Source organism: Homo sapiens, chromosome 20 (assembly GCF_000001405.40).
Source record: "Homo sapiens chromosome 20, GRCh38.p14 Primary Assembly".
In the NCBI taxonomy this organism is placed as follows: Eukaryota; Metazoa; Chordata; class Mammalia; order Primates; family Hominidae; genus Homo; species Homo sapiens.
In genome coordinates this window covers 32,802,742-32,824,567 of record NC_000020.11, presented here as the reverse complement: position 1 = coordinate 32,824,567, position 21,826 = coordinate 32,802,742, and the positions used below count along the sequence as shown (strand labels likewise).

The window sequence follows — 21,826 nt, the reverse complement described above, 5'->3', positions numbered from 1 at the left end:
AGCTACCTGGCAATGGTAGGGCATCTGTGGGCCTAAGTGCCAGATACTTCACAGACACTTGTTGTTTAACCCTGACAGCCCTCTGCAAGGTTCACTTCATGTCCCTCATTTTACAGGTGAGGACAAGAGAGGCCCTGGGGTTGGCAGGCAAGCCTGCCCAGCCCCAGCCTCCACATTCTCTTCCCTCCCTTTTCTGCTAGGCTTTCAAATTCAAAACAATAAACACACAGCAATGAGTCTAATTTTCAAATGCTAGTAAATGTGGGCGTTATTGTCTATGAGCACCAGTGTAGTCAACCGTCACTCATTCTACAAATGTTTACTAGCTCTACCGCGTGCTAGGCACTGTTCTAGGGACCAGGATACAGAAAAGCAAGAGACAAGGTGCCTGTCCACAGGGAGTTCACATTCTAGTGGTGCAAAGTCTGACACTGACCAAATACACCAACAAACATCATTTCATACCAACCACTTATGCAACGGGGTTTACGGAATGTGGTCAGAGGAAGCCTCTCTGAGATGAACAGTTGAGCTTAAGGATCAGAGAAAGAAGCAACCACATGAAGCTCTAGAGATAGGGCTCTCCAGCCCAGTGAGCAAGGAGAGCAGAGCCTGAGGTGGGAACAGAAGGAGTTAGGATTTTATTCTATTAAGAAATCCACTGTTGGGTTTGTTTTTTGAGGCAGGGTGTCACTCTGTCACCCAGGCTGGAGTGCAATGCCACAATCACGGCTCACTGCAGCCCTGACTTCCCAGGCTCAAGCCATCCTCTTGACTCATCTTCCCAAGTAGCTGGGACTACAGATGGTCACCACCAAGCCCAGCTAATTTTTTAATTTTTTGTAGAGACCAGGTCTCATTTTGCGGCCCAGCCTCAAACAATCCTCCGCCTCAGCCTCCCAAGGTGCTGGGATTACAGGCATGAGCCACCACACCCAGGCACTTTCAGGTTTTAAGTGCGGTAGAATCTTGCTCTCATTACAGTTTGAAAAAGATCACATTGACTACTAGTAGAGAACAGACAGTAGGGAGGGAAGACTCAAGATAAAGGCAGGCTAATCCAGATCTAAATCAAATCCCTGAGCAGTCACCATGAGGACACACTATGAAATACCAGAGACTTCATAGTGACCTAGACACTTAACAATTTTCTTCATTTCATAAGACAGCAACATTACCAGTGGGGAGGGGCAGGGGAAAGATGCAGAGCAATCTGGAACAATCCTGAGATCCCAGCCCCTTGCTCTCTTACGGTACTTCGTTCCCTCCACCTAGTGACTAGAGTTGGTCTTTCCACATCAGTCTCCTGCACTAAGCTGCTGCAAGCCTCCTGACTCACCAAGCCACAGAATGTGACAGCCAGAAGAGGCAAATCCACCCATCCAGTCCCCTTTTTATGGGGTGACTGAGGTCTGTAGAGGTCAATAACTTGCCAGGTCTGCGTGCCCTCACATCTCCCAGGCACCTCATAGTATCTTGCACATAGCAAGCACTCACTACTTATTTTCAGGTTGGCAGAACAGCGTCAAAGAGAGAAAAATGTGTCTATATAAACTTGTCAGAAAGCAAATCATCAACACTGTTACACTCCCCAAATCAGCTGATAAAACCATGTTATGCAAGACACCAACACAATTTAGTTACTGACTCCACTGGGAAATTAATCCCTATGTTTCCAGAGCAATTCATTCAAACCTTTATGATAGGAAGTCCCACAATGAATTGTCATTATCTCGTTATTTCTGAACCATTCTCGAGCCAGATTTGGGCCAGGAAGCAATCCACTCGATGCAAACAGCTGAGGATTTCAAGCCAGGAGGACATGGGTTTGAATGTGAGGCAGTCACTCATTAGTTGTGTGATCTTAGGCAAGTTACTTAAACTCAATGTACCTCAGTTCCCTTACAAGTTAAAGCCACCTATCTGAAAAGGGTCATAGAAGGGTTTAAATTAGATAAGGTACATAAAATATTTGGCATGGCATCAAATTTAAGAGGTATTTAACAAACAAGATGTAGGGTAGGGACCTTGTCTCACTCATCCTCCTATCTCCAATGCCAAAAACAGTGCGCCTGAGACCTGCCAGCACCATCTTGCACGGAGATGCACTGCAACAGTCTTCAAATTTGTCTGTGTCAATCTGTTCTTACACAGCAAACCAGAGAGAATTTCCTGAATCACAAATCACAGCAAGTGCCTCCCTTGTTTAAAATCCTTGAATGAACAAAATACTGTGCGCAAAATCAGGTACCAGAGACATTCAAACAAAAAAGACATGGTCCCAGCTGAGCAATTGTAATCTATTATGGCGACATTCCTATATATACTGTATCGTGTGCATCATGCTGCTATAAAATCTAAGCAGCTGGTAAAGCCATGTGTGTCTCCTGACCACACCCCAGCTCAAAAAACATTAATGGCCTTTCATCATCATATAATTTAAAACTTTCATTAGCAGTACATTAATACCTGGTCCCACGTGCTCCACAAACGCTGCAGCCACTAAATACATGGATTAGGCACCCTGTGGATGTACAATGAACATCCACCGACTCAATCAATTAATTGGCTCCTCCTGACAATCAAAACAGAGCTCCAGCTCACCCTTCCTTCACAATTCCATCATTGGCAGCCATGGAAGACCCATGACTACCACACAAATCTCACCCTTACAAGGCTTCCTGATCCAGGTTTCCACCACCACCATGAAAAAGCTCCCTCAAACCTACCCAGGAATCTCTCTTCCTTCAGCAGCTCTCCTAGCAAGATCCCAAACCTATACAAATTCAACGCTGGCTCTAAAGCACTCTATTACTTTCAAGGCACCACAATAAGCCCTATGTAAAGTGGGGGAAGGAGGTGCCACCAGAAAGGACCTATGTGACCGTGGGCAAGTCACTTAATCTTCCTGCATCACAAATGGCTCATCCTGTAAAATGGGTAAAACAGTATCTCTGCACAAAGTGGTGGTAAGGATTAAACAAAAATCTACATGAAAACACTTAAGCAAAAGGCACATCACGTCCTAAGCTTCCCTCTGTGCCAAAAACTGTGCTAGGCACTTTGACGCACCACCACAAAGGGCACATCTGGATGTGTAGCTCTGGACCTCAGGGAGAAAGTGTAATAAAGAGGTTAAGAGCCTAGACACTGAAGTCCCAGGTGGGGGTTCAGCCACTTGCTGGGCTGCATAAGACACTCCGCCTCTCAGAGTCTCAGACCCCTTATTTGTAAAATGAAAGTAATCTCTCTTGCCAGGCGCGGTGGCTCACACCTGTAATCCCAACACTTTGGAGGCCGAGGCGGACAGATCACTTGAGGTCAGGAGTTCGACAACAGCCTGGCCAACATGGCGAAACCTCGTCTCTACTAAAAAATACAACAATTAGCCGGGCTTGGTGGCGCGCGCCTGTAATCCCGACTACTCGGGAGGCTGAGGCACGAGAATCGCTTGAACCCGGGAGGCGGAGGTTGCAGTGAGCGATGGTGCCACTGCACGCCTGGGCAACAGAATAAAACTCTGTCTCAAAAAAAAAAAAAAAAGGAAGAAGAGAATCTCTCTTAAAGACAGTGTTAGTATTAAAAGACACAAAGCCACATGGAGCACTTAACAGTGCTTGACACAAAACAAGTGCCCAACTAACAAAGAGCTGCTATTATCATTACTACTGTTAGAGACATGCCATCGGAGAAGCGGATGCCCGGCCTAGCATAACCTCCCTCAATGGGCCCCAGGATCCTCATCCCCAAAATGGGGCAGAGGTCAAGCTCTGCCCTGCAGCATCCGAGGGCAACTGTGAAGTAGGGACTGAACTAGCACTGTTGATACCATCCCGTTATACTGTCCTCCTGCTCATCATAATGTGGATTCCTGGAGAGCAAATCTTTGTTCCCGGGAAAACAGCCAGGGTTTAGCACGGTGCCCAACACCTAGTGGGCATTCAATAAACACACACTGAAGAAAGGAGGGAGTCCAAGAGCTGGCTTACTTTCTGCCATACATCGCGCTAAGAGTTTAATGTGGGTAGTATTACTGTCCCCGTTTTACAGATGAGGAAGCTGAGATCCACAGCGGTTAAAGCACCTGTCCAAGGTCACACCGCACGGAACCCAACCCAGGTCTGACTCCACCACCCGATCTCTCGGCCCTCAGGCAACACGGCCTCCCACAATGTGCGTCCCCAGAGCTCCCAGGACGGCCCACCTCGCCCACACCCTCCCAGGGCCCAACCACCCTGGGACCTCCAGTCGCTGCAGCGCAGGGACCACACCTCAGCGGCGGCCCAGAAACCCCCACCCCGCGTAGCAGCAGCCCACTTCCGGCCCGAGACCCCGCCCCCTGAGCAGAGCGCAGCGCGCGCCCCCAGGCCCAGCCCGCGCGCGCCGGGTGACGGCCCCGCCCTTCCCCCACCCGGCTCGAACAGCACCGCCGTGTGGAACGGCCCTGGCGCTGCCCGTAGGGCCTGCCCGCGCACGCCCGGCCTTGGCCCACGCGGCCGCCCCCCCAGCCGCACCCCCCGGGCCCGCTAGCCGGCTCACCGGCTCTCGGCAGAACCGCGTCCACTGCCCGCAACCGGCTCCGGTTCCGTCTTCGTCTCGTTCAAACCGCCAGACCCCGCCCGCCCGCCCGCGCGATGACCTCACACGCACCCCCTCGTTACGCGCCGACGTAAAGGCTCGCCATCCTCCGCCGGCTCCTTTTATAGAGAGGGTCTCAGCCGCGCGCCGGGGGCGGAGCTCGGCCCCTGATCCACAGAACGGTAGCCGAGGGGCGGGGCCCCGACCGCCGGGGCGACTGCGGCACGTGGTCGGTCGCAGCCAATGAGGTCCCGCCTCGGCCCGGTGTGACTCAGTTACAAAATCCCTATGGCAGTAACCAAAAAGAAAATTGCTTTTACAATGAATTTTTTTTTTTTTTTGCTTAGAGATGTATGGAGGTCTCGCTGTGTTGCCCAGGGTGGTCTCGAACTCTTGGCCTCAAGCGATCCTCCCGCCTTAGCCTCCCAAAGCGCTGGGATAACAGGCGTGAGCCACCGCTCCCAGGCTTACAATTAATTTCTGTAAGAATGGGTTATTGAATCATAAAGATACCTAATAGACACTTTGGGGAAACGCTTAGAAGTCAACTTTCTGGGCCGGGTGCAGTGGCTCACGCCTTTAATCCCAGCACTTTGGGAGGCCCAGGTGGGAGGATCACCTGAGGTCAGGAGTTTGAGACCAGCCTGGCCAACATAGTGAAACCCCATCTCTACTAAAAATACAAAAATTAGCCTGGCGTGGTGGTGGGCGCCTGTAATTCCAGCTACTTGGGAAGCTGAGGCAGGAGAATCACTTGAACCCAGGAGACGGAGGTGGCAGTGAGGCGAGACTGCACCACTGCACTCCAGTCTGGGCGACAGAGCAAGACTCTGTCTCAAAAAAAAAAAAAAAAAGTCACGTTCTGTGACGCCCCCGCCCCCCCATCTGCAATATCATGCGGCATATTTTCTTCTTAGTACCATAAGAAGGCATCTTGTGCCTTTACTGTCTGTCTCCTGTAAAGTCCACAGGAGCAAGGACCTCCTGAGTCCTGTTCCGGGTTGTTTCCCAATGGCTGTACATACATTCTCTCTTGCCCACTCCCTCTTTTTTTTTTTTTTTTTTTTAAGAGATGGGGTCTTGCCATGTTGCCCAGGCTGGGCTGGTCTCCTGGGCTCGAGAGATCCACCCGCATCGGCCTCCCAAAGTGCTGGGATTACAGGCGTGAGCCACCACACCTGGCCCTTACATTCTCAAGAGAGCCTTGGCTGAAGGAGGAACTGGGCTGGGCGTGGTGGCTCACACCTGTAATCCCAACACTTTGGGAGGCCAAGGCGGATGAATTACCTGAGGTCAGGAGTTGGAAACCAGCCTGTCCAACATGGCGAAACCCCATCTCTACTAAAAATGCAAAACTTAGCCGGGCATGGTGGTGGGCGCCTGTAATCCCAGCTACTTGGGAGGCTGAGGCAGGAGAATCACTTGAACCTGGGAGGCAGAGGTTGCAGTCAGACTTCGTCTAAAAAAGAAAAAAAGAGGAACTGCACCACTTTACAGCAGAAAGAAACTGAGGGACAAAGAGGCCAATTGACTCACTCAGTGTCAGAGGTAGATCCAGATTTCAAGCTGACTTTTTTTGTCTGGGTATCATTTATTCAAGTATTCAACAAATATTTTCCCTGACCAATCAGGCCCTGGTGAAAAAAAGACACAATCTGATCATGGTGGTACGTGCCTTTAGTTCCAGCTACTGGGAAGGCTGGGGCAGGAGGATCGCTTGAGCCCAGGAGTTCGAGGCTGCAGTGAGCAAAGATCACGCCACTGCACTCCAGGCCTGGGAAACAGAGTGAAACTCCATCTCTAAGAGATAAAAACGAAAACTAGACACAGCTTCTGACCTCTTAAAGTTTCCAGACTGGCAGGGGAGGCAAAGGGGACACAACTAATGACACAAATCCTTGTTAAATTACAAATCAGGCTCAATGCTAGGCAGGGACATTATGTGGTGGGCTGATGGTACTTCCACTGTGTGGAGCAGGGGCCTAGAGGTCCCTCTAGGCCAAATCTCACCCAGTTAGTTGCTGAAACCCAGTAAGACGTTCAGGGAAGAATGGGTGGGGAAGCTGGGGCAGGAGCTGTTTATCAGCAGGTCTAGAGGCATTTCAATACTTCGGTCTCGAGTACTGCTCCAAGAGCACACCACAAGAGACATGACCTCTCCTAGGTAGTGTGGAAAAGCTTCCCAGAAATGACACTTACCATGAAAGATGAGGAGTTACCTTGGCAAAAGAGTTTGAGCAAGGCCAGTTGTGGTGGCTCATGCCTGTAATCCCAGCACTTTGGGAGGCCGAGGTGGGCGGATCACGAGGTCAAGAGTCTGAGACTAGCCTGACCAACGTGGTGAAACCCCGTCTCTACTAAAAATGCAAAAATTAGTTGGGCGTGGTGGCGCGCGCCTGTAATCCCAGCTACTTGGGAGGATGGAGCAGGAGAATTGGTTGAACCCAGGAGGTGGAGGTTGCAGTGAGCTGAGATCGTGCCACTGCACTCCCGCCTGGGTGATAGAGCAAGACTCTGTCTCAAAGAAAAAAAAAAAACAGAGTTTGAGCAAAAAAAGGCAAGAAAAGCCAGGCGCGGTGGCTCGTGCCTGTAATTCCAGCACTTCGGAAGGCTGAGGTCGGCAAATCACGAGGTCAGGAGTTGGAGAACAGCCTGGCCAACATGGTGAAACCCCGTCTCTACTAAAAATACAAAAATTAGCTGGGCATGGTGGCGGACACCTATAATCCCAACTACTCGAGAGGCTCAGGCAGGAGAATTGCTTGAACCCAGGAGGTGGACGTTGCAATGAGCCGAGATGGCACCATTGCACTCCAGCCTGGGCAAAAGAGCAAGACTCCAACTCAAAAAAAAAAAAAAAAGAAAAGAAAAAGAAAAAAAAAGAGGCAACAATAAAGAATAAAAAACCATGTAACAAATGATTATAGCGACAGCAGTAATATGAACATTATGGTGAGCTGATGTCAAGCATAGATAATCAACTAAAGATATTTATAAGTGCTTTGATGCAACATCTGTTACCTGTATTTTATTTATTTATATTCTTTTTAAAAAACGAAGAAACAGAGACACTCTGTCGCCCAGGCTGGAGTGGAATTGTGTGATCTCGGCTCACTGCAACCTCCGCCTCCTGGGTTCAAGCCATTCTCCTGCCTCAGCCTCCTGAGTAGATGGGATTCCAGGCACACACCACCATGCCCGGCTAATTTTTGTATTTTTAGTAGAGACAGGGTTTCACCATATTGGCCAGGCTGGTCTCAAACTCCTGACCTCGTGATCCGCCCACCTTGGCCTCCTAAAGTGCTGGGATTACAAGCGTGAGCCACCACACCCAGCCACCTCTGTTTTATCCACAAAGACATTAACTTTTCATTAGGCTAAATAATAAACGGCGAAGCCAGTATGTCTGGGTTCAAATTCTGTTAGAATTAAATGGGAAGTGTATAAAGTTATCAGACTGCGCCTAGCACATAGTATGTGCTCAATAAATGTGATTTCTGAGTCCTTTCGTCTAAAGTCAGTTATTAAATTATGTCAATTAATTGGTATCAGCATTACCTGCAGGCCATTTTGGTCTGGAGTGAGGACATTAGTATGGGGGATGAGATCAGTGTAGAAAACCAAATCAGGAAAAGCCTCTAGGCCGGGTGCAGTGGCATGATGGCTCTGTAATCCCAGCACTTTGGGAGGCCAAGGTGGGCGGATCACTTGAGGTCAGGAGTTCGAGACCAGCCTGGCCAATATGGTGAAACCCCATCTCTACTAAAAATACAAAAATTAGCAGGGCATGGTGGCATGCGTCTGTAATCCCAGCTACTCAGGAGGCTAAGGCAGGAGAATCGCTTGAACCAGGGAGGCAGAGGTTGCAGTGAGCTGAGATCACACCACGGCACTCCAGCCTGGGCGACAGAGTGAGATTCTGTCTCCAGGTGGGGAAAAAAAAAAAGCCAGCCTAGAAAGTTTGGACCTAATTCTGGAGACACAGGAAGTTACAGGAGATAACTCTATTTTAGAGGAGCAAGGCCCTCTAAAGTACAACTCATCTACCCTCCCAAGACAGCTCCCAAAAAACTGACATTGGGCCAGGTAACCTGCTAGCATCCACTCTTCTCACTGAGGAAAAAGCTGGCCAAGGTTATCTGGGTCAGATTAAGCCTTGACAGCAAAAGGCCAGAGGGTAAAAAGAAAAAAGAATCTCCATCCTGTAAGAGAAATGGCTCCGGAGATGTAATATGTATCTTAAAGCAACTGTTTTAATATGTGAAGCAATCTCATTATCACAGATAGAAATTATGACTCTCCTGTCCAAAAACAAAACAAACAAAATAATTGTACTTCAAGGCCTGAGTTTTACAAATGTATGACAACTTTATTGAACTAAATAATGATGTTGGGAGATCAAGCTGCTTTGAGAATCTCACAAACTCATGGAGGAGAAGACTACAAAAATAAGAAGTTATAGGCCAGATGTGGTGGCTCATGCCTGTAATCCCAGCACTTTGGGAGGCCAAGGAGAGACAGCATGGCAAGATTCAAACTCCACAAAAAAATTTTAAAATCAGCCAAGCGTGGTGGCATGCACCTGAAGTCCCAGCTACTCTGGAGGCTCAGGTGGGAGGATCAATGGATCCTGGGAGGTCGAGGCTGCAGTGAGCCTGTGATCACCACACTGCATTCAAGCCTAGGCAACAGAGCAAGACGCTGCCTAAAAAAAAAAAAAAAAAAAAAAAATCAGAAATTATAATACATAGTGCTTTGTGGTGAGATAGATTCTTCTTGTGTTTTGTTTTGTTTTTGAGACGGTGTTTCGCTCTGTCAACCAGGCTGGAGTGCAGTGGTGTGATCTCTGCTCACTGCAACCTCCGCTTCCTGAGTTCAAGCAATTCTCCCGCTTCAGCCTCCCAAGTAGCTGGGATTACAGGCCTGCACCACCACACCCGGCTAATTTTTGTATTTTCAGTAGAGACAGGTAGTAGCCTGTTGGCTAGGCTAGTCTCAAACTCCTGACTTCAAATGATCTGCCCACCTCAGCGTCCCAAAGTGCTGGGATTACAGGTGTGAGCCACAGCGCCCAGCCAATTCTTCTTCTTTTTTTTTTTTTGAGATGGAGTATCACTCCTGTTGCCCAGGCTGGAGTGCAATGGCGCCATCCAGGCTCACTGCAACCTCTGCCTTCCAGGTTCAAGCGATTCTCTTGCCTCAGCCTCCCAAGTAGCTGGGATCACAGGCATGTGCCACCACACCCGGCTAATTTTGTATTTTTAGTAGAGACAAGTTTTCATCATGTTGGCCAGGCTGGTCTTGTACTCCTGACCTCAGGTGATCTGCCCACCTCAGCCTCCCAAAGTGCTGGGATTACAGACATAAGCCATTGCACCCAGCCCGATTCTTCTATCTATACATAGGGAAGGAGGATTCAGATTGGAGAAGGGCTCCTAATTCTGCTCAGAATAGGTGCAAAGAAATTTTCCTGGAAGAGGCAAGAACTGGAGGACCAGCCTGGAAAGGGGAGAAGGCTGTTACAGGTGGAGAACAGCATGTGCAAAGACTCAGAATGAGCAGTTACCAACTCCAGTAACGCCAACCTCTGTTTTCTTTCAGCAATGCTCAGACCTTGGGATGAACCAAAGCTTAGAGAACAAAGATAGGTTACAAAGCCTAAAGCACCAGGCTTTATGCACTGTTCTGTTTGCATATTTCACAATTAATTGGGAGCCTTAAAAATAAAAACAGGCCGGACATGATGGCTCACGCCTGTAATCCTAGCACTTTGGGAGGCTGAGGTGGGCGGATCACCTGAGGTCGGGAGTTCGAGACCAGCCTGACCAACATGGAGACACCCCGTTTCTACTAAAAAATACAAAAAAATTAGCCGGGCATGGTGGCTCACGCCTGTAATCCCAGCACTTTGGGAGGCTGAGGCGGGCAAATCACCTGAGGTCAGGAGTTCCAGACCAGCCTGGCTAACATGGAGAAACTCCGTCTCTAATAAAAATAGAAAAATTAGTCAGGCACGGTGGCAGTCACCTGTAATCCCAGCTAATTGGGAGGCTGCGGCAAGAGAATCGCTTGAACCCAGGAGGCAGAGGTTGCAGTGAGCCGAGATCAGAAAAATGTTATTAATATATAGAGAAGATGACAAAGGAAATGTGACAATATGTTAATATCTGGGGAATTTGGGTTATGAGTATTTAGGAATTCTTTCTACTATTCTTGCAAGTTTTCTGTAAGTCCAAAATTACCAATTTTTAGTAATTTTTTTAGAGACAGAGTCTTGCTCTGTCACCCAGGCTGGAGTCAATGGCAGGAACACAGCTCACTGCAGCCTCAAACTCATAAGCTCAAGTAATCCTCCCACCTCAGCCTCCCAAGTAGCCAGGACTACAGGCGTGTGCCACCACACTTGGCCTGCGTATTTTTTAGTTAAAAGTTGTGGGGTTTTTGTTTTTTTTTTTTTGAGATGGAGTCTCGCTCTGTCACCCAGGCTGGAGTGCAGTGGCATGATCTCGGCTCACTGCAAGCTCCGCCTCCCAGGTTCATGCCATTCTCCTGCCTCGGCCTCCCCAGTAGCTGGGACTACAGGCGCCCGCCACCACACCCAGCTAATTTTTTGTATTTTTAGTAGAGACGGGGTTTCACCGTGTTAGCCAGGATGGTCTCGATCTCCTGACCTCGTGATCCGCCCGCCTTGCCTCCCAAAGTGCTGGGATTACAGGTGTGAGCCACCGTGCCTGGCATAATTTAAAGTTTTTAAAAATCAATAAAGTTACGTGGCCGGGCGCGGTGGATCAGTGGCCAGGCACGGTGGCTCACGCCTGTAATCCCAGCACTTTGGGAGGCCAAGGCGGGCAGATCACGAGGTCAGGAGATCGAGACCATCCTGGCTAACACGGTGAAACTCCGTCTCCACTAAAAAATAAAAAAAAATTAGCCGGGCGTGGTGGCGGGCGCCTATAGTTCCAGCTACTCAGGAGGCTGAGGCAGGAGAATGGCATGAACCCAGGAGGCAGAGCTTGCAGTGAGCCGACATCACGTCACTGCACTCCAGCCTGGGCGACAAGCGATACTCCGTCTCAAAAAAAAAACCAATAAAGTTACACAAAAAGGAAAGAAAGAAAGGGGAGAAGTAGGCAGGATAAAAGGAAGGGAAGGAAGCTAGGAAGGAGGGCAAAATGCTACAAAGGGCAGCAGGTAATTTCAAGCTCCAGCAAAACAACAAACAAGAACAAAGATGCAGGTGAGACCAAGGAGAAAAAGTAGACTGGCTTCCCAGAGCAGATTCCAATGCACAACTCCTTTTGCTGCTAGCTGGGTGACCTTGGGTATGTGATGAGACCTCCTTGGAGTCAGTTCTCTTACTTATAATCATGGTAATCAGGCCTCACAGGGTTGCCAGAATTCTCTAACAGTAATAAAAAAGCATTTTTGGGTCATTTGTCACTGTCATTTACTCAGCATTCAGTCCCCATCCCATGTGCCTCACATATACTGAATTGTTTGATCCGCGCATCAGCTCTGTGATGTTGATATTATCCCTATTTTATAGTTGGGTAAACAAGGCCCAAGCACGCCCAAGGTCACAAATTAGCAGGGAAGTGGAGACAGGATGGGAACCCTCGCAAGGAGCATTGGGATCTCTACAGGATGTGGGGGGTGGTGAGGGGCACAAGTTCCACACCCGATGCCACTGTTGCTACAGTTGACACCAGTCAGCCTAGCTGCTGACAACATCTGGGGAAATATTACCCTGCCTTTTAAAAAGTATTACTATTATTGTATGAGGCAGGGTCTCACTGTTGCCCAGGCTGGAATGCAGTGGCGCAATCTCGGCTCACTGCAACCTCCACCTCCTGAGGTCAAGTGGTCCTCTCACTTCAGCCTCCCGAGTAGCTGGACTACAGGGGCGTGCCACCATACCTGGCTAATTTTAAAATTTTTTTGTAGAGGGGGGTGTGAAACCCTCTCCGTGCTGCCCAGGCTGGTCTCAAATCCTGAACTCAAGTGATCTGCCTACTTCAGCCTCCCAAAGTGCTGGGATTGCAAGGTGTGTGCCAGCGTGCCTGGCCTATGGCTATTATTATTGATAAACATTGTGTGTTACTATCACTACGTGCATCCAGTCTTCATTGTCATTAGCACTGCATTGATTAATAGGTCTCATTTTTACAATAATGCCATCTCATATATGTGAAGTTTATTGCCTGCCAGGTGTCAGGCAAAGCACTTTACCTAGATCTGGCCTTTGAACTTCAGTAACCCTATGAAGTAGGTAGGATTTATTATTTCCATTTTATCACTTTTTTTTGTTGTTGAGACAGAGTCTCACTCTGTCGCCCAAGCTGGAGTGCAGTGGTGCGATCTCAGCTCACAGCGACAACCTCCATTTCCCGGGTTCAAGCCATTCTCCCACCTCAGCCACACCCAGTAGCTGGGATGACAGGTGCATGCCACCACGCCCAGCTAATTTTTGTCTTTTTTGGTCGAGATGGGGTTTCACCATGTTGACCGGGCTGGTATCTCCACCTTTTAGGTGAGAGATGAAAAACCCCAAGAGGTTAAGTCATCTGCTTGCTCCAAGTGACACAGAAACATGCCAGACCCCAGACACAAATCCAAGCAAACCCAAAGACTGCTTCAGCAAAGGCCCACATAGGATTCAAACTCCAACCTCTTTCCCCAGATCAGAACACTCACTGCATTCTCCCCCTGCCTCAACACCTGGGATCACTCAGATACCAGCCTAACCTCATCTTGAGAAAACACAAGAATTACCCCCATACTCCCTCTGAGTCCCCCAACTCCAACAAGCAGGCCAGGACGCCAAGGACCCCTCATCTGGAGGGCTTGCCCGTCTGTCTTAGGGTTTCGAGGCCAGGGCTGTTTAGCTGGCTTCATCCTGTCCTGGTATTTGGTGCAGCATTGTACACAAGATGGCTTAATTGGGTGGCCCAGGTCCCTGGGGTCTCAATACCCGGGGAGGCAGGGGAGGTTGTGTGGGGCTAGCTTGCTAATTGCCAGTTATCTCACCATGGCAACCTGCACGTGGGCTGTTCTAGTCCTGAAGCACCTTTCTAATAACATGTTCATCCTTCCACTCTGGAAGCTTCTTCCCTCCCCAAACCCTGGGCCAGGCCCTTTAGAAACCTGACCTTATTTAAGAGATGGCCATGATTATAGCCCAACTCACACATGGCCTGGGAGGCTCAGAGGTGCTCGGTCTGACTGGTGTTCAGTGGGTGAACCCCAAGTGCACCACCCTATTCCCTCTCTAAATGCGCTAGCTAACCAGCATTAACCTTTTTCCCTGACCAAAGGCTGGAGATGAGTGTGGCCCGATGGGCTCTGGCCTTGGGACTTCTGCCTGGGGAACCCCATGTAAAGTAAAATGGGATTACTGGTGTTGCAATATTAGGCTTAGAAGGGCAACCGACATCGTGAGTGCTCATTGAAGGCCAGGATTTTAGTTGGGGGCATGCTGAGAATCACACTCCAAAGGGTAGAGGACACGGGCTAGGCTGGGACCACAGGGCCACTCCCAATTAGCCCCCTCACGGAAGGTGGTTGACCTGCAACACATCAACTTGGGAGCTGTGGAATAAGGTATAGAATCCCACCGAAGCGCGACAAACTGTGAGAATCATCATTAGGATCTTTTGCTAGAGGTGATTATCACCTTGATCAGTTCCCCAATATCTGTATGTCTGGAAACAGGTGTCCCACACATGGAGCTTTTAAATGAATTCAGACACTCAAGCCATATTTGGGAACCATGAGTTAGATACCCATTCACTAGTCCGGTGTGTTCCCTGGATAGTGGCATCAAATTCCTAGGGTCAGGCTGGGTGTGGTGGTGCATGCCTGTGGTACCAGCTACTTGGAGGCTGACAGAGGAGGATCACTTGAGTCCGGGAAGTCCAGGCTGCAATGAGCAGTAATTGTGCCACCGTGTGACTGAAAATTCCTAGGGTCCACTTGGAGTCAGAAACTCTGGAGGTTGGGCCAGCAACCACAGCCCTGACAAGCCCTCCAAGGGAAGCAGATGTGCTGGATTCTTTTTTTTTTTTTTTCTGGAGACGGAGTCTTGCTCTGTTGCCCAGGCTGGAGTGCAGTGGCACGGTCTAGGTTCACTGCAAGCTCCGCCTCCTGGGTTCACGACATTCTTCTGCCTCAGCCTCCTGAGAGTAGCTGGGACTACCACACCTGGCTAATTTGTATTTTTAGTAGAGACAGGGTTTCCAGGGTTAGCCAGAATGGTCTCGATCTCCTGACCTTGTGATCTGCCCGCCTTGGCCTCCCAAAGTGCTTAGATTACAGGCATGAGCCACCGTGCCCAGCCTGGATTATTGGTTTTTTTTTTGTACGGACGGGGTTTTGCCATGTTGGCAAGGCTGGTTTCGAACTCCTGGACTGAAAAGATCCGCCCACCCTGGCTAGGATTACAGGCGTGAGCCAATGGTGCAGAACCAGTGTATTACACTGTAAGTAAGCTCCAGTCAGCTTGGGGTCACATTGCGTTTGAATACATGAATGAATGAATCACCTACTTCCAAACTCCCACCCTGACATGTTAGCCAGGCCCTCCCCCATGTCCCATCCATCTGACCTGCAGAAGAAAAGGGACATCAGACAGTTATAGACAAATACTGATTTTAATTAAACATAAGGTAAACTCTAGGCATCCGTCATCTTTCAGCCTAAAAATTAGCAAAAACTGTTGAAACAAGGCACAGTTTTTTCCCCATATTTGTTACGTCGTGGCTCCAGTTACAAAAAAAATTTTAATGAAAACGTTAAACATAAAAATAGAAGTTTGAGATTTTAAAAAGTGTATAAAAAGCCCCACAAAACTTGTCAACGTTGTTCCTTATTCTACAAAATAGCACCAGTAAGAAGAGTAAAAGGTGTTAAAAACCATTATGACAGCATTTCTGAAATGCAGCTTGTCTGAATTCCCGTTCTCCCTAAAAACGACTTCTTATGGAATAAAAAAGGATTAAAAAATCTCCAAAGGGAGCACCGAGCTTTGCAGTTTTCCCTGTCATCTCTCAGATGTGGGGAAGGTATGAGAAATGTATGTCTGTCCCTGACTGCTGTCACTGCCTCTGAGTTTAGTAAAAAGATGAGAAATGAGGGTAGCAGACTTCTCATCTGGGGACCTGTGCCTGTGGAGGGTAGGTCTCCTGGAGAGGGAATGGGTTTGAGGGGGTGTCTTATCTAAGCTCCTTGCTTCACACTCCTCTCCTAGGGAAGAGGGAGATATGGAGGAGCCATACTTGTCTACAAAATATATGGCAGCTTATATTATAGAACTCAGCACACCCCTTCCTGAGCTCCCCAGAGGGTTCTATTGCAGTCACGGGGAGGGATTTAGCTAAGAGTGGCCCCTGCCCTTGGGTTTGTGGGGGAAAAAATAGCCCTGAATGTGATGATGACGTCATCCCTGCTGAAATCATCATCATTGTGGAAAATACTCTAATAGGTCCCGTGCAGACTCCAGCCCTTGTATTTAGGCAAGGGGAATGTGCCGGGTAAAAGACATATACAACATTTTCTCTTCTGCTTGCCCTGGGAAAAAACGATCCTGGGCCCTTAAAAATGTCCTGTAGCTACATGCCTACAACTGCACACGTCTGTAAACACAGAGCAGTAGCCAGTTTTCAAAAATTAAACTCTTGCAATAACTGTCTTGGATGATTTTTCAGCATTAACCTGAGTATTGGAGAGCTGTCGGCACTGTGGTTTTGGTATCTTAGCCATTGTTTCTCTGAGTGGTAGACCCAGGAAGGGAAAAAAAAAAAGCCACGTTGCTACCTACTTCAAGTTTTAAAGTTTTAGGAGAAGAAAAAATGAGCACCGTGTTAGGCTGCTCCAAGCAGCCAGGTCTGATTTGTGCACAAGGAGGCGGCACCTCAGGCTACCCCTGCAAGAGTCAGGTGGCTCTGCCCCCACTGAGCAAGAGGGAACTGAGGTACACGGTATGACCCACACAGCTGAGGAAGAGCAGGGCCTGGGGATGCCTTCAGGAATCACACCTCCTGGGTCCTGGCTCTGCCACACACCCCAGTGGGCTTGGGGCCTGGCTGGAACTATTCACATGCAAAGTAGTCCTTCAGAGGGGCGAAGAGGTGTCGGATGACAGGCACGCTCCAGGACCTTCCCAGCAGCTTCTGGCGGGCACCACGGCCCATGTTGGACACGTCTGTGTAGTGCACAGGAAAGCCAAAGATCCTGGGGGTACCGGAGTGAAAAGACAGCAAGTCAGAAGTGCCTCCAGGATGTTGACAGCCTCAACCAGCCAGGTCCCACTCTTTCTGCCCTCGCCATCCCTCAGTCCCATCAGTAAGGTCCCCAAGGACCTAAATTCAGAGCCCTTAATTCAGAACACTTGCTTACAAATTGCTCACAAATGAAAGTCCCCCGTTTTGTGCAGGCCTAGCACCATACTCTTGGCATAGAGTTGGTGCTCAGAGGACCTTCCTAGAATAAATGCATGCATACTAAATCAGCCAGCCAGCAATGTATCCATTTTCAAAACACTATGATGGGAGAAGTTAAGCAATTTCCTTAATAAGGAACAAGGTCACTCAAAAACAGCCTAGATTTTCAGTCATCACAGGCTCAGGCAACCAGAGTTTTCCTTCCCTCTTCAAACCCAGCTGCCGGATGAAGGACCATGCTAGATGACTCCAGGCAGATGGCATCAAATATACCAAAAGCTTCCTCTATAGGATTCTACCAGGCCTGGAAAGAGGCTACAGAGGCTGAGCCTCAGTGTTACTCAGGTATACAATCCAATACTAAAAGTCATCCCAACAGGCCAATGGCTGCGTGGGTTATTCAGAAACATGCCAAAGATGTGATACCTCAGGCCTGTGTCTTGCTTGGTCTTAGCGTCTACACAATGTCAGCCATCTGCACCAACCATTTTAGGTTTAGGTCCATACAGAATAATCTACAGCATAAATACTAATCAGAAGTTACTTTTATACTCAGAAAACTGTTGGTAAGTCAAAGAAGAAATTAAATGAGTTATAGAAGTGAAATATCTGGAATGAAAATACTCTATATCAAAGCCTTCAGAATACAGAATACATGTAAAGAGGAATGTTCAAAGCCATAATCACTATAGCAAATAATGATTTTTAAAAAATAGTATAAGCAAAATGAACAAACAATAGAGGAGTGAAAGAAAACAGAACAGAACAGAACTGAAATCCAAGAGATGGTTATTTGCATCAAAACAGACAAACTTAGCCCAAAGAAAGGGAAGGAGAGGATAAACTGTGGCTAAGAAGGAATCATTTATAGAATGAGCAAACTGAAGTCTTCAAGAATGGCATGTCTGTGGGGTTTTCTTTCACTGGCTTCTCACACATCGTAGTGTCCCAGCATGTTGGGACAGGCAGATGTCACGGCAGTGCAGCCAACAGACAGATGGTGTGGCCTAATGACCTCATGTCTCAGATTCCTCACCACCACCACACCCCCTCCGCCATTTTTGTCAGGAAATAAGGGCGAACTATGAAAAGGTATTATTACTCCTCGCCCCAGTAACACCAAAGGGCAGTGAGGCCATCAAGAATGAAGGTAAGCACCTGCCCATGTCTGCCCATTTGTGTTTTGATCTACACAGTTTCCCTCTCCAAGTGCAGCCTTGCTCACCTTTCGAGCTCAGTGCACCACAAAACATCTTCTTTGCCATTCATGACAACAGGGAAAAGTTGGTTTTTCCCCTGTTTGATCGAGTTCGACTTGGTGGTTATTGTCTGTACTTTCTTTAACTGGAGAACAAAATGACATCATGGAGTGAGCACAGAATGAAGGGACCTGGGGAGTCAAGGCTCAAAAGTACCTGGGAAAGATGGAGGGGAGAGCGCAGGTGCGGCAGAAGAGTGGCAGGGCTGGGAGAGAAAAGTACCTGGGAAAGATGGAAGGGAGAGGGCAGGCGCGGGAGAGGAATGGCAGGGCAGGGAGCGAAAAGCAGAGTTGGAGAGACAAGAACATTTTGTGCTTCCCACAAATGCCAAGACGTTAACAGGAAGGACCAGCCTCAGAGAAAATGAGATAAACAAAAAAGTGACCATGAACGAGATCACGTGGGGGGCCAAGAAGACACCAGAGTTCCTGATCAAGCAAGATTAAGTAAAAAAGTAAAAACCACCCAGATACAGAGAATGCTCAATTGGAGTTTAGAAAATGGATCTTAGCTTGATGCAAACATTGAGATTTAGGTTTATGGAGGTCTTCATATTCTATGACTTGACAGCAAATTAATTTTTTGGCAAAAGGATTAATGATTCCTTTCTCCCTGAGAGGGCCAGCTGAAACTCTTTGTCTTTATGTATCCAGTACTAAAATTAAAAAGACTAGTTGCCTTTTCTCGTCGTGATTACTTATCACGAATGTCTCCTAGTCTCTGTATTTGAGGATGGGACAGAACAATCATGTGGGAGAGGGAAGCCCAACACCAGGAAGTCACGTGGGGGGAGGAGTAGGAACCAATCAAACACCAAGGTCATCTCCCAAGTCCCCACTTGGAGGTCACCAAGTGCATTTTTCCAGAGGGCCACAGCTCGTCTTACCTTGGCTATCCTATTGTATTCCAAGCAGTCCTGCAGCTCGAGTTTATCATTCTTTGATGCTATCACGGGCCTGGGAACAGCCAAAACCCATTACTTCTTACTAGCTATAGAGGGTCCTCTGCTAGGCACAAGGTGGGAGTGAGGGTCTATGTTGCAGAGATGTGCCCTGGCAGTGAACTTGGCTACAAATAAATGATGAAAATGATCCTGGCATGAGCACAAGCCTGTGTGCCAAAGCCAAGGATGGGCTAGAGGGGACAGCCCAGCATCCAGGAGGTAATGCTCCCCTGCCTGGACTTCAAAGTCAGGTTCCCATTGAGCAGGAACACTGCATGGGGTAGGGCAGGAGAAACCTCAGGTCCCAGCTCCACACTGCTCACTGACTGAGCTTGAGCGAGTCACACTACCCCTTTGGGCTTCCTGTCTATTTTAAAGTGAGGAGCTTGGAATAGATTTTTGTGGGTCTACCTGATACAATTATCATATCACACCCACGGTTTGGTGGCTCACTGCTGGGGATACAGCCTCAGGAGGCTTTAAAAGTGAATGGCAACCGCCTGCAGTGGTTCCTACCCTTAATCCCAGCAATTTGGGAGTTCAAAGCAGGAGGATCGCTTAAGCCTAGGAGTTGGAGGCTACAGTGAGTTATGATTACAACACTGCACTCCAGCCTGGGAGACAGACCCTGTCTCTTAAGGTTCCAAAAAAAAAAAAAAAAAAAAAGACTAAGCACCCTTTTAACTTTCACCCTTGAAAATTATTTTGCAAATGCAGAGAGAGGCAAACAGATGACTAAGAAGGGCAAGGGCTAGAACTGAAAGTAGTTGAGCAGCTCCAGAACAGAAACTGGTGCAAGAGGACTGGACGCAGGGACGGCCATAGTAACCTGTGTTAGGAACGTCAAGGCCAAACAACTCAGACATGAGAACGGGAACCGTGCCTACAAGAGGGGCTGAGGAAATCACAACACATATTTCCCCTAGACTGATAGATTTCCTTGACCTCACCTGCCAGGCTTCAAATGCTACCTCTATCCCCATTCCTACCTCCGACATGGACCCAGGGGAGCTGAGGGCCCAGAAGAAAAGGACACTGCACAGCCCCGCCTTGTGCTGACTATAAGATTAAGCTCTAAACAAGCCAGATGACTTGGGTCTGTCCCCTAAATGATGCCTGACACACCCATCCTATAAGCCTGCAGAGCTTAGTCACAGCATCAGATCTGCATCAGGTCTCACTGCTCTTTCCACCTCATAGCCTACACATCCAATGCATCAGCAAATGTCCTACCCTCCACATATGTTGAATCTGATCCGTCCTTGCTAAGTCACAGGATTGCTGTGCTGCAAACCCCAGGGGCCACCACTCACACTGTGTTCTCTATGGATGGCACCTCCTGGGGCATAACATCATAATCAGTCATCTCTCCTTCTTTGAGCAGTCTAGTCCCTTCACTTGTCTCCCCATTCCCGCCTCCATCCTGTTATTGTCTATAATCCACCCAGAAACTACCATGAACCAAAGCACAATTCATCTCATCTGTAACTTCCCATGCCAAAGTGATTTCAGCGGTACCACATTAAGGCCCAAGTTACTTGGTCCTTCTCTCCCAGCCACCCCACCTAGGGTGCTCTGAGCTGGTCTGGGGATGTTTCCCATCATCCCAGACCCTCTTCCCACCTGGAGTACTCTAATAACTGCATGGGTCCATCCCTTCACTTAGGACCTTCGCTAGAATGAGAAGCCTTCCCCATCAACCCTTCCAATGTCCATCCGCCAGCAATAAACCCCAAATCATTGTCTTCTCTCCCTCCCCCTTCGGCATGTCACTATCGACATGATGTGTTTAACCATGAAAATGGCAACAGCGTAACAGTGCCTGGCCTACTGGGAGTTCAAATGTTGAAAGCATTAACCCATTTAATTCCAGACACAGACATGGCACCCTAAGACTGGCTGCTTAGCCAAGTACACGGGCAAGGTGACCAACAAAAATCCTCCAAGCTACCCCAGGACCCTCACCTCTGTCCACACTTCACTAAGTGGCAGAAGGTTATTATGTTTCCATGCCTCCTTCTACAGGAGAATGTTTTAAGCTCAACTCATTTGCAAGTCTGGGATGTCACATTACCATAACATTTTACATCTTAATTAGCAAGTTCTTCTCCTTGAAACCACATATAGAAGAAATAATTAATCCTCAGCAAAGCTGCTTTGTGGCTTTCAGAGTGTCTGAAGAAGACTGTTTTTAGTATACGATAACAAAATATGAAATGCTCCTGGTGATGAGAATCTGAGGGACATAGTCTTTGGGCTATTGTTTGTCATAGCAGCTCTGCCACCTGGTTGGTCACCATGAGCCTGGCCAAGATCGCTTCATCTCCAGGGCAGGAGGAAAGGCACCGGTAACAACAATCTACTTCCATTTCCAGACGGCTGTCACTACATCAACGGGGAGGAGAGGTGAAGGGCAGGAGCATCAACAAGCTCAAGTCTTGAGAGATCCCTGGCAGGAAGGAGGTACACAGTCTGGCCACAGCTCATGAGACTTGTATTTTTCTTTATTTTTTTGTAGAGACGGGGTCTCACTTTGTTGCCCAGGCTAGTCTAGAACTCCTGGGCTCAAGCGATCCTCCAGCCTCGGCCTCCCAAAGTGCTGGGATTAC

General features: G+C 48.3%; 2 protein-coding genes across 23 annotated transcripts in view, besides 7 other annotated features; both read right to left on the bottom strand.

The window, feature by feature from the left end:
- Window positions 1–4,791, bottom strand: part of MAPRE1 (microtubule associated protein RP/EB family member 1) — a 30,629-nt gene extending 25,838 nt beyond the window's left edge. The window contains exon 1 of one of the 2 annotated variants that reach the window (XM_011528696.3): window positions 4,651–4,791. The gene's annotated coding sequence lies outside the window, so the exon portion shown is untranslated. Of the gene's footprint in view, window positions 1–4,539; window positions 4,615–4,650 lie in introns of those variants that run through there. The other variant, NM_012325.3, reaches the window with a different exon arrangement.
- Window positions 2,896–3,565: an enhancer, noted in NCBI's record as "H3K27ac-H3K4me1 hESC enhancer chr20:31408809-31409478 (GRCh37/hg19 assembly coordinates)". NCBI's record gives its function as "activates a minimal SCP1, AML or CMV promoter by ChIP-STARR-seq in primed H9 embryonic stem cells {active_cell/tissue: H9 hESC(primed)}" and the evidence as "EXISTENCE:reporter gene assay evidence [ECO:0000049][PMID:30033119]".
- Window positions 3,566–4,235: an enhancer, noted in NCBI's record as "H3K27ac-H3K4me1 hESC enhancer chr20:31408139-31408808 (GRCh37/hg19 assembly coordinates)". NCBI's record gives its function as "activates a minimal SCP1, AML or CMV promoter by ChIP-STARR-seq in naive H9 embryonic stem cells {active_cell/tissue: H9 hESC(naive)}" and the evidence as "EXISTENCE:reporter gene assay evidence [ECO:0000049][PMID:30033119]".
- Window positions 4,308–4,897: a silencer, noted in NCBI's record as "silent region_12810". NCBI's record gives its function as "represses an Ori minimal core promoter by ATAC-STARR-seq in GM12878 lymphoblastoid cells {active_cell/tissue: GM12878}" and the evidence as "EXISTENCE:reporter gene assay evidence [ECO:0000049][PMID:35858748]".
- Window positions 14,386–14,887: an enhancer, noted in NCBI's record as "OCT4 hESC enhancer chr20:31397487-31397988 (GRCh37/hg19 assembly coordinates)". NCBI's record gives its function as "activates a minimal SCP1, AML or CMV promoter by ChIP-STARR-seq in primed H9 embryonic stem cells {active_cell/tissue: H9 hESC(primed)}" and the evidence as "EXISTENCE:reporter gene assay evidence [ECO:0000049][PMID:30033119]".
- Window positions 15,212–21,826, bottom strand: part of DNMT3B (DNA methyltransferase 3 beta) — a 46,972-nt gene continuing 40,357 nt past the window's right edge. For 8 of the 21 annotated variants that reach the window (NM_001424355.1, NM_175849.2, NM_001424358.1 and 5 more), the window contains one exon: window positions 15,212–16,806. In NM_001424355.1, the coding sequence (NP_001411284.1) occupies window positions 16,665–16,806 (142 nt within the window). In that variant the 3' untranslated portion in view covers window positions 15,212–16,664. Of the gene's footprint in view, window positions 16,807–18,240; window positions 18,360–19,160; window positions 19,231–21,826 lie in introns of all 21 variants that reach the window. The other 13 variants (NM_006892.4, NM_175848.2, NM_001424352.1 and 10 more) reach the window with 2 other exon arrangements.
- Window positions 16,054–16,851: an enhancer, noted in NCBI's record as "OCT4-H3K27ac-H3K4me1 hESC enhancer chr20:31395523-31396320 (GRCh37/hg19 assembly coordinates)". NCBI's record gives its function as "activates a minimal SCP1, AML or CMV promoter by ChIP-STARR-seq in primed H9 embryonic stem cells {active_cell/tissue: H9 hESC(primed)}" and the evidence as "EXISTENCE:reporter gene assay evidence [ECO:0000049][PMID:30033119]".
- Window positions 16,852–17,651: an enhancer, noted in NCBI's record as "OCT4-H3K27ac-H3K4me1 hESC enhancer chr20:31394723-31395522 (GRCh37/hg19 assembly coordinates)". NCBI's record gives its function as "activates a minimal SCP1, AML or CMV promoter by ChIP-STARR-seq in primed H9 embryonic stem cells {active_cell/tissue: H9 hESC(primed)}" and the evidence as "EXISTENCE:reporter gene assay evidence [ECO:0000049][PMID:30033119]".
- Window positions 19,740–20,553: an enhancer, noted in NCBI's record as "H3K27ac hESC enhancer chr20:31391821-31392634 (GRCh37/hg19 assembly coordinates)". NCBI's record gives its function as "activates a minimal SCP1, AML or CMV promoter by ChIP-STARR-seq in primed H9 embryonic stem cells {active_cell/tissue: H9 hESC(primed)}" and the evidence as "EXISTENCE:reporter gene assay evidence [ECO:0000049][PMID:30033119]".